Source organism: Homo sapiens, chromosome 5 (genome assembly GCF_000001405.40).
Source record: "Homo sapiens chromosome 5, GRCh38.p14 Primary Assembly".
NCBI lineage: Eukaryota > Metazoa > Chordata > Mammalia > Primates > Hominidae > Homo > Homo sapiens.
This window is the reverse complement of record NC_000005.10, coordinates 1,558,467-1,571,251: the sequence shown is the minus strand read 5'-3', so window position 1 is coordinate 1,571,251 and position 12,785 is coordinate 1,558,467. Positions and strand designations below refer to the sequence as shown.

General features: G+C 51.1%; 1 annotated feature.

Moving 5' to 3' along the window:
- Positions 4,562–5,543: an enhancer, noted in NCBI's record as "H3K4me1 hESC enhancer chr5:1565824-1566805 (GRCh37/hg19 assembly coordinates)". NCBI's record gives its function as "activates a minimal SCP1, AML or CMV promoter by ChIP-STARR-seq in naive H9 embryonic stem cells {active_cell/tissue: H9 hESC(naive)}" and the evidence as "EXISTENCE:reporter gene assay evidence [ECO:0000049][PMID:30033119]".

Below are 12,785 nucleotides of genomic sequence, written 5' to 3'. Positions count from 1 at the left end.
CAGAGCATTACTGTGTGAGCTCCGCCCTGTCAGAGCATTACTGTGTGTGCTCCGCCCCCTGCCAGAGCATTACTGTGTGAGCTCCGCCTCCCGCCAGAGCATTACTGTGTGAGCTCCGCCTCCCGTCAGAGCATTACTGTGTGAGCTCCGCCCATGCCAGAGCATTACCTTGTGAGCTCCAACCCCTGCCAGAGCATTACTGGGTGAGCTCCACCCCCTGCCAGAGCATTACTGTGTGAATTCCAACCCCTGCCAGAGCATTACTCTCTGAGCTCCGCCCCTGCCAGAGCATTACTCTGAGCTCCGCCCCCTGCAAGAGCATTACTCTGTGGGCTCCGCCTCCTGCCGGAGCATTACTCTGTGAGCTCCGCCTCCAGTCACAGCATTACTGTGAGCTCCGCCCCCTGCCAGAGCATTACTCTGTGAGCTCCGCCTCCAGTCACAGCATTACTGTGAGCTCCGCCTCCTGCCAGAGCATTACTGTGTGAACTCCAACCCCTGCCAGAGCATTACTGGGTGAGCTCCACCCCCTGCCAGAGCATTACTCTGTTAGCTCCACCCCCTGCCAGAGCATTACTCTGTGGGCTCCGCCCCCTGCCAGAGCATTACTCTGTGAGCTCCGCCTCCAGTCACAGCATTACTGTGAGCTCCGCCCCCTGCCAGAGCATTACTCTGTGGGCTCCGCCTCCTGCCAGAGCATTACTCTCTGAGCTCTGCCTCCCACCAGAGCATTACTGTGTGAGCGCCGCCTCCTGTCATATCATTACTGTGTGAGCTCTGCCTCCTGTCACAGCATTACTGTGTGAGCTCCGCCTCCTCTCCAAGCATTAACTGTGTGAGCTCCACCTCCAGTCACAACATTACTGTGTGAGCTCCGCCTCCTGTCCAAGCATTACTGTGTGAGCTCCGCCTCCTGTCCAAGCATTACTGTGTGAGCTCCGCCTCCCGTCAGAGCATTACCGTGTGAGCTCCGCCTCCCGTCAGAGCATTACCGTGTGAGCTCCGCCTCCCGTCACAGCATTACCGTGTGAGCTCCGCCTCCCGTCACAGCATTACCGTGTGAGCTCCGCCTCCCGCCAGAGCATTACCGTGTGAGCTCCGCCTCCCGTCACAGCATTACCGTGTGAGCTCCGCCTCCCGCCAGAGCATTACCGTGTGAGCTCCGCCTCCCGTCACAGCATTACCGTGTGAGCTCCGCCTCCCGCCAGAGCATTACCGTGTGAGCTCCGCCTCCCGTCAGAGCATTACCGTGTGAGCTCCGCCTCCCGCCAGAGCATTACCGTGTGAGCTCCGCCTCCCGTCACAGCATTACCGTGTGAGCTCCGCCTCCCGTCACAGCATTACCGTGTGAGCTCCGCCTCCTGTCCAAGCATTACTGTGTGAGCTCCGCCTCCTGTCAGATCAGTGGTGGCATTAGATTCTCATAGGAGTGGAACCCTGTTGTGAACTGCGCATGCGAAGGATCTAGGTTATGCGCCGCTTATGAGAATCTAATGCTGCTCATCTGAGCTGGAACCGTTTCATCTCCAAACCATCCCCACCATCCCCACACTTGTCCGTGGAAAAAGTGTCTTCCATGAAACCAGTCCCTGGTGCCAACAAGGTTAGGGACCACCAGTTTAAATAACCAAATACTAAAAGAACTGGCATAGAAGTAAATGGGCTGCTGCTTTATTTTTAGACTGTTCTTTTTAGAGAACAATGACAATTATTTCCAAGTTTGTCATTAGAAAATAATATTAGGTTGGTGCAAAAGTAATTGTGGTGTTTGCCATTACTTTCAATGGCAAAAGCCATGATTACTGTTGCACCAACTTAATATGATAAATTTGTTCCTTAAAGTGTATTTTTGGTAAGAAAAATCTTTGCTTTTCTTCTATTAATTTTTTGTTTTTGTCTTGGTAGAGACAGAGTCTTGCCATGCCGGCCAGGCTGGAGTGCAGTGCTGTGATCTCGGCTCACTGCAACCTCCACCTCCCGGGCTCCAGCAATCCTCCCACCTCAGCCTCCCAAGGAGCTGAGACTACAGGTGTGAGCCACCATGCCTGGCTAATTTTTATATTTTTTACAGAGACAGGGTTTCACCATCTTGCCCAGGCTGGTCTCAAACTCCTGGGCTCAAGCAGTCCTCCTGCCTCAGCCTCCCAGAGTATTGGGATTATAGGTGTGAGCCACTGCCAGAAAAACTTTTCCTAAGACAAGGCAGGTTTTACATTATATTTAGATTTTTTTTAATGATGTCTTTTTTGGCAGTGCACAGCCAGAGAACAACACATCACACACAGGAAACAGTTGTGCTCATGTGATGGGGGCCTCAGCACTAGGAAGGAGTGGACTATTGGCACACGCAGCAGCTTGAATAAATCTGAAAGTCACTATGCTGTGTAAGAGAAGCCAAATTTAAAAAGTGCATGCTGTGTACAGAGGGTGTCAAGAATGCCTCCTACGTGACGGAAAGCAGATCCGTGGTTGCCTGCAGACTGGCAGGAGCAGATTCCAAAGGCACAGGAAGAAGCTTGTGGGTAGAATGTGTTCATTACCTTCTGTGCATTATACCATAAAAAAGCTGGTCACAAAAATGCAAACCAAAAACAAAGGTGAAACTAGGATAAGATTTCTCACCTGTGTGATTGGTAAACGTGCAGATGTGCCGTCATGCTTTGTTTATGAAGCTGTGGGATACAAGGACTCTCATACGTCACTGTGGAATGCAGAATATTGCAGCCTCATGGAAGAGGATTTGGCAGCGTCTAACAAAACTACATGGCATTTGCCCTTTGACTCAGCAATTCTAGAATCTGCCTCAAAAAAACTCCAGCAAAGAAATGAAAGGACTTTAGGCACAGAGTTCTTTTCACAGCCTGCATGTGTTTGCAACAAAGTTCTTCACTGTGGCGTTTGTAAATGTGGGGAAAAGAGAGATCAGGCTGGTACTGTGTCTGTGTAGAAAAGGAGGACGTAAGAAACTCCATTTTGATCTGTACCCCGAGCGATTGTTTTGCCCTGAGATGCTGTTAATCTGTAACTTTAGCCCCAGCCTTGAGCTCACAGAAACCTGTGTTGTATGGAATCAAGGTTTCAGGGATCTAGGGCTGTGCAGGACGTGCCTTGTTAAGAAAATGCTTACAGGCAGTACGCTTGGTAAAAGTTATCGCCATTCTCCATTCTCGATAAACCAGGGGCACAATGCACTGCGGAAAGCCGCAGGGACCTCTGCCCAGGAAAGCCGGGTACCATCCAAGGTTTCTCCCCACTGAGATATGGCCTTGTGGGATGGGAAAGACCTGACCATCCACCAGCCCGACACCCGTGAAGGATCTGTGCTGAGTAGGATTAGTAAAAGAGGAAGGCCTCTGTCTCCTGCCTTCCCCTGGGAACGGAATGTCTCAGTATAAAACTGATCGTACATTTGTTCAATTCTGAGATAGGAGAAAAACCACCCTGTGGTGGGAGGCGAGACATGTTGGCCGCAATGCTGCTGTTACTCTTTACTCCACTGAAATGTTTGGGTGGAGAGAAGCATAAATCTGGCCTACGTGCACATCTAGACATAGTACCTTCCCTTGAACTTACTTGTGACACAGATTCCTTTGCTCACATGTTTTCTTGCTGACCTTCTCCCCACTGTCACCCTGTTCTCCTGCCACATTCCTCTTGCTGAGATAGTGAAAATAGTAATCAATAAATACTGAGGGAACTCAGAGACCGGTGCCAGTGCGGGTCCTCTGTATGCTGAGCGCCAGTCCCCTGGGCCCACTTTTCTTTCTCTATACTTTGTCTCTGTGTCTTATTTCTTTTCTCAGTCTCTCATCCCGCCTGATGAGAAATACCCACAGGTGTGGAGGGGCTGGTCCCCTTCATTCTATAGTTATTATAAATGTACAGGAACATCAAAAGGAACTTGTTTGTATAATGTCACAGTACAAGGTACGTAGCCCAGGAAATGACCAATCTGATGGGTGTTATAACCCATCCAAGCCCCCTGCGACCACCGTTTTTAAAATAAAAAACTGGTCCTTTCCTTGGCGATACAAGTAAAATAATAACTAGAAGAGAAGAAAAAGAAATTCCCAAACAAGTAACTTTAAAATTTGATGCTTGTGCAGCCATTAATGGTAACAAGCTAGAATTAAAATGGAGTTCTCTTAACTAGGAAAAGAGCTACACAGTAAAAAATAAATATGTTTGTCATAAGTCAAGGATCTGTGAAAATTGTGCCTATTGGCCATGTGTTATTTAGGCTACTTAAAAAAAGGACAAAAAAGACCCAGTTCACCTTCAAAAAGGGGAAGCCAATCTCTCCTGTGCTGCCGGTCACTGTAACCCACTAGAACTAATAATCTCTAATCCCCTAGACCCCCACTGGAAGAAAGGAGAACATGTAGGCCTGGGGATTGATGGGACAGGGCTAAACCCCCAAGTTGCTATTTTAGTCCGAGGGGAGGTCCACAGGCACTCTCCCAAACCAGTGTTTCAAGCCTTTTATGATGAGCTGAATCAGCCAGCACCAAAGCTTCAGAAAAAGACAGAGCCACACACACCCTGCATCACCCAGGCAGGGAAAATGAGCTGGGCTGTGGGTGCTGGGAAAGCCATGCCTGCAGCCCCCTTCAGAGTCAGGCTGCACTGCACAGGGAGCCTGAGAGAAAGGTGGAGAGGCCTCCTGAGCCCGGCTCTGGGCATCACAACAGCTGGTGCCTTCCAGTCAGGTTTGCACCGCCAGCTACGGGGAGGTGGCTGGCTGACGGTGAGTTGGTGCCCAGGGTTCTTGGTCCCGTCCCACATGGCAAGACACAGACAAGACTGCCCAGCCACACAAGCCAGTGAGTGAGAGGAATTCCCCAAAGTGTGTGTCTGGAGGCCAGGTGGGTCCCTCGACCTGCATCTAAAGCCCTACCCCCCTGCCCCCGACAGCCTCCCCTGAGGTGGGTCCCGGCACACGGTTGCTGCCTCCAGGACAGGGGACATGAGCCCACAGTGTGGGCCGCCCCTGGCCATCCTCCGGGGCTGGCCATGGCCATGGTCGTGGCACCCTGGGGGCCCAGTATGCAGCAGTGGAGGCCACAGTGACAGGAAGTGCCAGGGTGGTCTGGCAGGCGCCCAGGCCTTCCCTGGCTTCAGCCCGTTGTCTGGCCAGTTGCGTTCCCCAGGGGCCACCCGATGCCTCTGGCACTCTCCATGCTGGCTGGGAAGACCAGTGTCGGCCACTTGGCCGTGGGCAGCCTCCTTCTGGCACTAGCACGTGCCCCTCCCTCTGTCCTCGCTCTGCCTGCCACGTCCACTCAGCCACATGGCACCGGGGTGTCTTCACCTGTCCAGCCTCCAAACCTGGTGGGCCTCAAGGGCACAGAGCTCTGCCCACCAGGCTGACATGCCCCTAGGGGGGACTGGACTGGACTCAGGACGGTCCCTGCTCATGGCAACCTTGCTGTCCACCTGGGCTCCTCGGCCTGGGTGAGTCCTTACTGGGGAGAGGGCTCCTCTGCCCTCCAGCTGATGGGTGTGTGCTGGCGGACACAGGTCAGGAAGCAAAAGCAGGAAAACCAGGGAAGGGGCGTGCAGTGTGGAGGCGAAGAGGGGTCCTCCCCTGGCCAGTGTGCGTAGCCAGTTGCACCTCACGTCCCAAGGCCATGCCCAGGAGCAGCCCCCTGCTGTGTGTCCAGGGGGCAGGGCACTGACCCCACTTCACCTTCCCCTTAATCCAGCCGTGACCCTGCTCCACGCCAGGATGCGCTGGGATGGCTCGGGGGCAGCACCCTGCACAGCAGCTCTGGCTCTAAGCTGCACAATCGGATGTCTTGCATAGTCACCGGCTAATCCAGGACAGGCTGGTGAAGGTCACTCGCCTGGGCATGAGTCGCCACCCTGCACCCTGCAGGACAGGTAACTTGGAGAGGGCTCATGTTATCTTATTTAACAAAAACATTGCCCAGAGCATGGTATGATAAAGACCTGGCAGGAATGGAGAGCGCCTCCCACAGAACTTTCACCAGGTGCAGGGAGGCAGGATGCCCATGGGGCGTTTGGGCAGATGCCACAGGGCGATGTTGGGTGGGACCCCCAGCTACCGGCTCCAGGAGGGGTGAGGAGGCCTTGGGCTCCTCTTCCAGGCAGCCCCACTCAGAGCCTTGCACAGAGGGCGGCGCTGCATGGAGGGGCAGCCGGAGCCAGGCCAGGAGCAAGAGGGCCAGAGGGAGGCAAGGTGCAAAGCAAAGCCTGGAAATCCAGACAACACTGGGAACATCCTGCACTCTCTAAGTTCACCAGTGCACAGACCCGCCTGTGGATGGACTCACCCTTGTCCTCTGGGTCCCGCCTGTGCCCAGGACTCCCAGGACCTCGGAGGTATACTCTAGGCATGATCTTCATTACTCTGCAGAACTGTTCACCTTAATTTGCTGGAGGTTGTCTTAAAACATGGCCTCTATCCATCCACATATTTAGCGGAATTGATTAAAATAAACTTAATACTTTCATGTCATCCTTTTAGGGATTTCTTCAAAGGTTTAGATATTTCAAGCACTGTGTTGATTCTATAATTCACCTGCTGGAGAGAGTTGGCTTAAGGGATATTCTGAAATGAACAAACAGCCACAGTCACCTTTGAAGAGCCGCACGTTGCCCGTCCCATCCCAGCTCTGAGCCTCTGCGAGGTTCTCCCCTGCCTGCTGAGCTCCCTCCCCTGTGACACCAGGAGCGGCCCCTCCTCCCCACACTGCAGGGGCCTCCAGATCCCAAGGGGCAGGCCCAACTCCCTGAGAAACTCAGGGACCAGTAGCCACTGTCTCCCTGGGGACAAGGGTTTGTCCAGAAAATGTGGTGGGCAGGATGGGTTGGATCTGAGACAGGCCTCCAGGTGCCGGGGTCACAAGCCAGTCAGCCCCGGCAGCAGGCGGTCACCGCAACATGTCAAGGCTCTTGTGACTTCGAGTGTGGCTCCTGGGAAAGGAACCGAATGGGCTGACTCAGTGTGGCCCCTGGAAAAGGAACCGAATGGGCTGACTCAGTGTGGCCCCTGGAAAAGGAACTGAATGGGCTGACTCATGTCGGAGACGCCTGTCAGCCTCTCTCAACCTCACCCCTCTCTGGGAGGCCAGACACTGTGCCAGGACCCAGAGGGTGGGAAGTCACAGCCCAGAGGATGGGGTTGTGGGGGAAGGTGAGGAGGACATAGGGGAGGTGAGGAGGACAGGGGGAGGTGCGGAGGAGAATCTCGGATGCCGGTGGGCCAGGGTGCCAGTCACCAGGTGAGTGCCTGCAGCTGCCCTGGCTCGTGGCTTCTGTGGCCTGCAGGCTCTGCTGCTTTTTGGCATTGTGAGTGCCGGTAGCCTTGTCCACAGGAGGAGACTGCTTCTGCAGAGCAGGGCCCCCGACGGGCCTTAGCAAAACCCTGAGGACCTTGGACCTGAGGACCCTCCACAAGGAAAGGTGGGGGGCAGGGCTGGCCAGAGGGGCTCTTTGTATAGCTGTTGCTGGGGGTGCTGCTTTACCAGGCCCTCAACTGGGTGTGAGAAGGTGGCTCCTGGGCACAGCTGGGATGGCCATGCTGGGGCCAGCTCCAAGTCCCCTCTGCCTTCAGGGACAGAGGACATGGTGCAGAGGCATGGCCTTGAATCCATGTGGCTTTTCTACAGGCTGTGGGTGAAAACCACCCAAGGATTCTGGGGTGAGCTCCAGACCATGCGCTTCCAGTGAGTGAGGGGAGCAGCAGCAGCGGCCACATCTCAGGAGCCTGTCTAGGGGCTGTCCTCCAGAAAAGCAGAGGCAGAGACATGAGGCAGCAGCCCCCGGAGACCCTCCCGCACGTGGCCAGCCAGCGTGTGGGGCCGCATCAGCCTCCTGACAGGAGGGGTCCCCAATGTGGCATCAGTTCCTGGGCCCTGGAAGCTGCCTGGTGTGGGCTCGCAGCCGCTTGACCAGGCTCAGCCAGGGAGGCATTTCCAGAAAGCTTCCTTCTCGTCCCGAGAGCTGCCTCTGTTCTGTGCTCACCCGGCCTGCGGCTGGCACAGAGTGTGGTTTAGGACCGCTGCTCTAGGGGCTGAGGAGCGTGCAGCCTGCGTGACCAATGGCACGATGCATCCTGCTACCTCCTGAGACCCCTTAAAGCGTGGTGATGGCCGAGCACGTTGAGGCCCTGGAGCGACCCAGCCCATTCCGGGCGAGGAGGCCCAGCTGGAGCTGCTGCGGGGAACTGAACTCCCTGGGAACAAGGAGTCCTGGGGCTGAGGCTGAGCTGAGTGGAGTCTGGAACAGAGAGGAGGATTCAGGACCTCAGTTCAGTGTGAGGGTTTTAATTTTCAAGGGTAAGAGTTTGTGTGTATGAATGCTGCTATGGTCTGAATGGGTCCCCCAAAATCCATGTGTTGGAACCTTAATATCCAGTACAACAGTGTTGGGGGTGGGGCCTTTGGGAGGAGCTTAGGTCATGAGGGCGGAGGGTGGATTAAGGCTGGTGCCTCGATGTGGGACTTCACAGCCCCCAGAACTGTGCAAGAAAACAACCTGTTCTTCATCAGTTACCCAGCAAGAAGCATTTCGTTATAGTAGCACAAACAGATTAACACACATGTATTGCTGGGGTGTGTGTGTGTGCGTTTATAAGTTTGTAGATGTATGGTATTGCGTTGGTGTGTGTCTGTGTTATGAATTTGTATGTATGAGTGTCGATGTGTGTGTGTGTGTGTGTCTATAAGTTTGTAGATGTATGGTATTGCGTTGGTGTGTGTCTGTGTTATGAATTTGTATGTATGTCAGTGTGTGTGTGTGTGTGCGCATTTATAAGTTTGTAGATGTATGGTATTGTGTTGGTGTATGTCTGTGTTATGAATTTGTATGTATGTGTGTGTGTGTGCGTTTATAAGTTTGTAGATGTATGGTATTGCGTTGGTGTGTGTGTTATGAATTTGTATGTATGAGTGTCGATGTGTGTGTGTGTGTGTTTATAAGTTTGTAGATGTATGGTATTGCATTGGTGTGTGTCTGTGTTATGAATTTGTATGTATGAGTGTCGATGTGTGTGTGTGTGTTTATAAGTTTGTAGATGTATGGTATTGCGTTGGTGTGTGTCTGTGTTATGAATTTGTATGTATGAGTGTCGATGTGTGTGTGTGTGTGCGTTTATAAGTTTGTAGATGTATGGTCATGTGTTGGTGTGTGTCTGTTATGAATTTCTACATATGTGTGTGTCGGTGTGTGTGTGTGTGTGAGTGTATGCATGTTTGTATGTTGGTAAATATGTGAGTGTGTGCACGTGTGTATATGTGTTTATTAGTTTATGCATATATGTGTGTTAATCAGTTTGTGTGTGTGTGTGCATGTATGCCACATTCCTTGTGAAAAGAAAGATATTTTCCCAAACACGGAATGACCCAGTGCCCAGCCGTGTTCCTGGAGCCTTGGCCGTTCCACTGTGTGAGCTGTGCTCAGTGAGCCAATGTCATGACCTGGAAAAGCTGCAACCCAAGAAAGGGACCCAGCCCTGCCGTCCCCCAACATGCTGGGTGAGCTGCTGCAAACTCACTGCACAGTCACCCTGGATCCTCTGAAACAAGGACTTTCTGTCCCTGGGACCTCTGTCCCAGGCTCTCTGTGCACCCAGGAACCACCCAGACCACAGGAGCCGAGAGTTGAGGTCGCGTGCACGACACCAGGGAAGATGAGGGGCCTCTCTCACCTCGTCCTCCTCCTCTTCCTCCTCTGCCAGGTCCAGGTCTGTCCTCCGCCTTCCCCTTATCCCCACATCACTGCAACCTCACCCTTCCCTCCACATTCTTATTATCCAAGAGAGCAAGTAAAGAACAGTATTTAGTTGAGTTTATTTTTCACTGAGATAAATTTGCATGTAACAAAACTAAGAATAAATCTAATTAGTGATAATCCATCAAGCAGGCTAAAAGATGTAATCTGGATTAGGGAACATTGTATCTTTGTCTGCATCGTTGAAACAGACGACTTTCATGCATATTTATCAATGAGAAAACGAGGCACCAATGTTTTTGCGATGCCTGCTCTAGTGACTGTACAAGAGTCATTTACAATTAACACAGTTACTGAAAATGGAATGTTTGTGAATGGGATTTCTTTTACATAAATGAAGATGTCTTAAAATCCTGTTACCCTGAAAGTTGACTCACTGAATTCTCATTTCATGGATCCAGGAAAGGCTATCCCAGTGTAGCAGGACGAGCCGCAGACAAAATTCCTCAGACACCAGCTTAAAGAAGGAAGAGGTTTGGCTGGGTGCAGTGGCTCATGTCTGTAATCCCAGCACTTTGGGAGGCTGAGATGGGTGGATCACGAGGTCAGGGCATCAAGACCGTCCTGGCTAACATGGTGAAACCCCCTTTCTACTAAAAATACAAAATAGCTGGGCGTGGTGGTGGGCACCTGTAGTCCCAGCTGCTTGGGAGGCTGAGGCAGGAGAATGATGTGAACCTGGGAGATGGAGCTTGCAGTAAGCCGAGATCATGCCACTGCACTCCAGCCTGGGTGACAGATCAAGACTCTGTCTCAAAAAAAAAAAAAAAGAAGGAAGTGGTTTATTCAGTCGGGAGCATCAGCAGACTTGCGTCTTAGGAGCCGAGCTCCCTGAAAAAGAAATTATTGGCCTTTCTAAAGGCTTACACTCTAAGGGGTCCACGTGAAAGGGTCGTGACAAATCGAGCAAGCGTGGGGAACGTGACTGGGGGCTGCATGCATCAGCTAACAGAACAGAAAGTTTCGCGATGCTTTTTCATACAACGTCTGGAATTTACAGATAACACAAGTAGTTTAGGTCAGGGGTTGATGTTATTATTATTTTTTAATTCCTAGGGCTGGGTGGTGGTGCCAAGGTCATCTAGCTATTTATCTTACTTTTGTTTCTTTCCAACTCTTTGCTTTCTCTCTTTCCTCCTGTCTTGTGAACTAGGCAAGGTGGGCAGCAGGAGTAGTAGTGGTCTCCTTCCTTACTAGGTGGACCCCTTCTGAACTTCAACAGTGGCGACTGGTGGTTTCTGTAATGAAATTTCAATTTGACCCTCATCTGAGAAGAGACAGTATCTGGTAACACAAAGCTCAGGAACTGCACACGATCTCTCACGAAAGCTTATGTCCAGTTTCCATCTGGTGCCAGCCCACTCGAAGGGCAGCTAAATGTCACTAGGCAGGTCCTGCTGGCAATAAGTGTGACATAAGATGCAGATTCAGTGAAGCCAGGCCCATCGTACGACAAAAGCTTGTGAGGGTTGGTTTCTCTGTCAGATTCCAGGTTCATAGATAGGATTCAGTGAAGCCAGGCCCATCGTACGACGAAAGCTTGTGAGGGTTGGTTTCTCTGTCAGATTCCAGATTCATAGATAGAAAAGGAGGGGACATTTATGTCTTCTGCCATTATAAAGAGTCATTCTTATATGTTTTAAAATATTGGCTATGTATATAATTTATAGATCTACATGTAGCTCTGTATAATCAATATTGCATACCTAATATATACTATATAGAGATATTATGTAAGTATTATATAAATTATATAGATCTATGTATTTAAAAATGTAGATCTATAGAGAGCTATACAGGTGTACTTTGTCTTGTGGTGTTTTGCTTGATTTTGCTCCATGGATGTTACTTTTTTTACAAACTGAAGGTTTGTGGCAACCGGCGTGGAGCAATTCCACGGGCGCAGTTTTCCCAGCAGCGTGTGCCACCTTCGTGGCTCTGGGTCACATTTTGGTGATTCTTGCCACAGTTCAAACTTCTTCATTAGTATTATATACGCAGTGGCAATCTGTGATCAGGGATCTTCAATGTTACCGACGTAATTGTTTTGGGTGCTATGAACTGCACCCATATAAGACACAAACTTAATAAATGTTTGGTGTGTTCTAGCTGCCCCTGCAGTCAGCCGTTCCCCCACCTCTCTCCCTCTTCCCAATCATTCCTGTTCCCTGACACACAACAATATTGAAATTGGCCCGGTTACTAAACCTTCCATGGCCTCAGAGTGCTCAAAGGAAGAGCCACGACGCCTCACTTTAAATCAAAACCCAGAAATGATTCAGCTTAGCAAGGAAGGCAGGTTGAAAGCTGCGATAGGCTGAAAGCTAAGCGAGGCCTGCACCAGTGAGACAAGTAATGAAGACAAAGGAAAAGTTCTTAAGGGAGATCACAAGTGCTGTTCTAGAGAGTGCATGAATGATGGGAAGTGAACCCGCCTTGTTGCTAATACAGAGAAAGCTTTTGTTTTCTGGATAGACAGTCAAAACAGCAACACCATTCCCTTAAGCCAAACCCTAGTCCAGAGCAGGGCCCTAACTTTCTTCAATTCTGTGAAGGCTGAGACAGGCGAGGAACCTGCAGAGGAAGAGTGGAAGCTGGCAGAGGTGGGTTCATGAGGTTTAAGGAAAGAAGCCGTCTCCATAACATAAAAACGCAAGGTGACGCGGCAGGTGCTGATGGAGAAGCTGCAGCAAGTTACCTTCCGCGTCCAGAAGATCTGGCTAAGATCACTGATGAAGGTGGTTGCGCTTAACAACAGATTTTCAATGTAGATAGAACAGCCTTCTATTGGAAGAACACCATCTAGGACTTTCCTACCTAGAGAGGCCAAGTCAGTGCCTGGCTTCAAAGCTTCAAAGACAGGCTGACGCTCTTGTTAGGAGCTGGTGCAGTGGTGACTTTCATTGGAAGCCGATGCTTATGGATCATTCTGAACATCCCAGGGCCCCTAAAAACCATGCTCAGTCTACCCTGCCTTGCTCTATAGATGCAACGAGAAAACCTGGATGTCAGCATGTCTGTTTACAGCA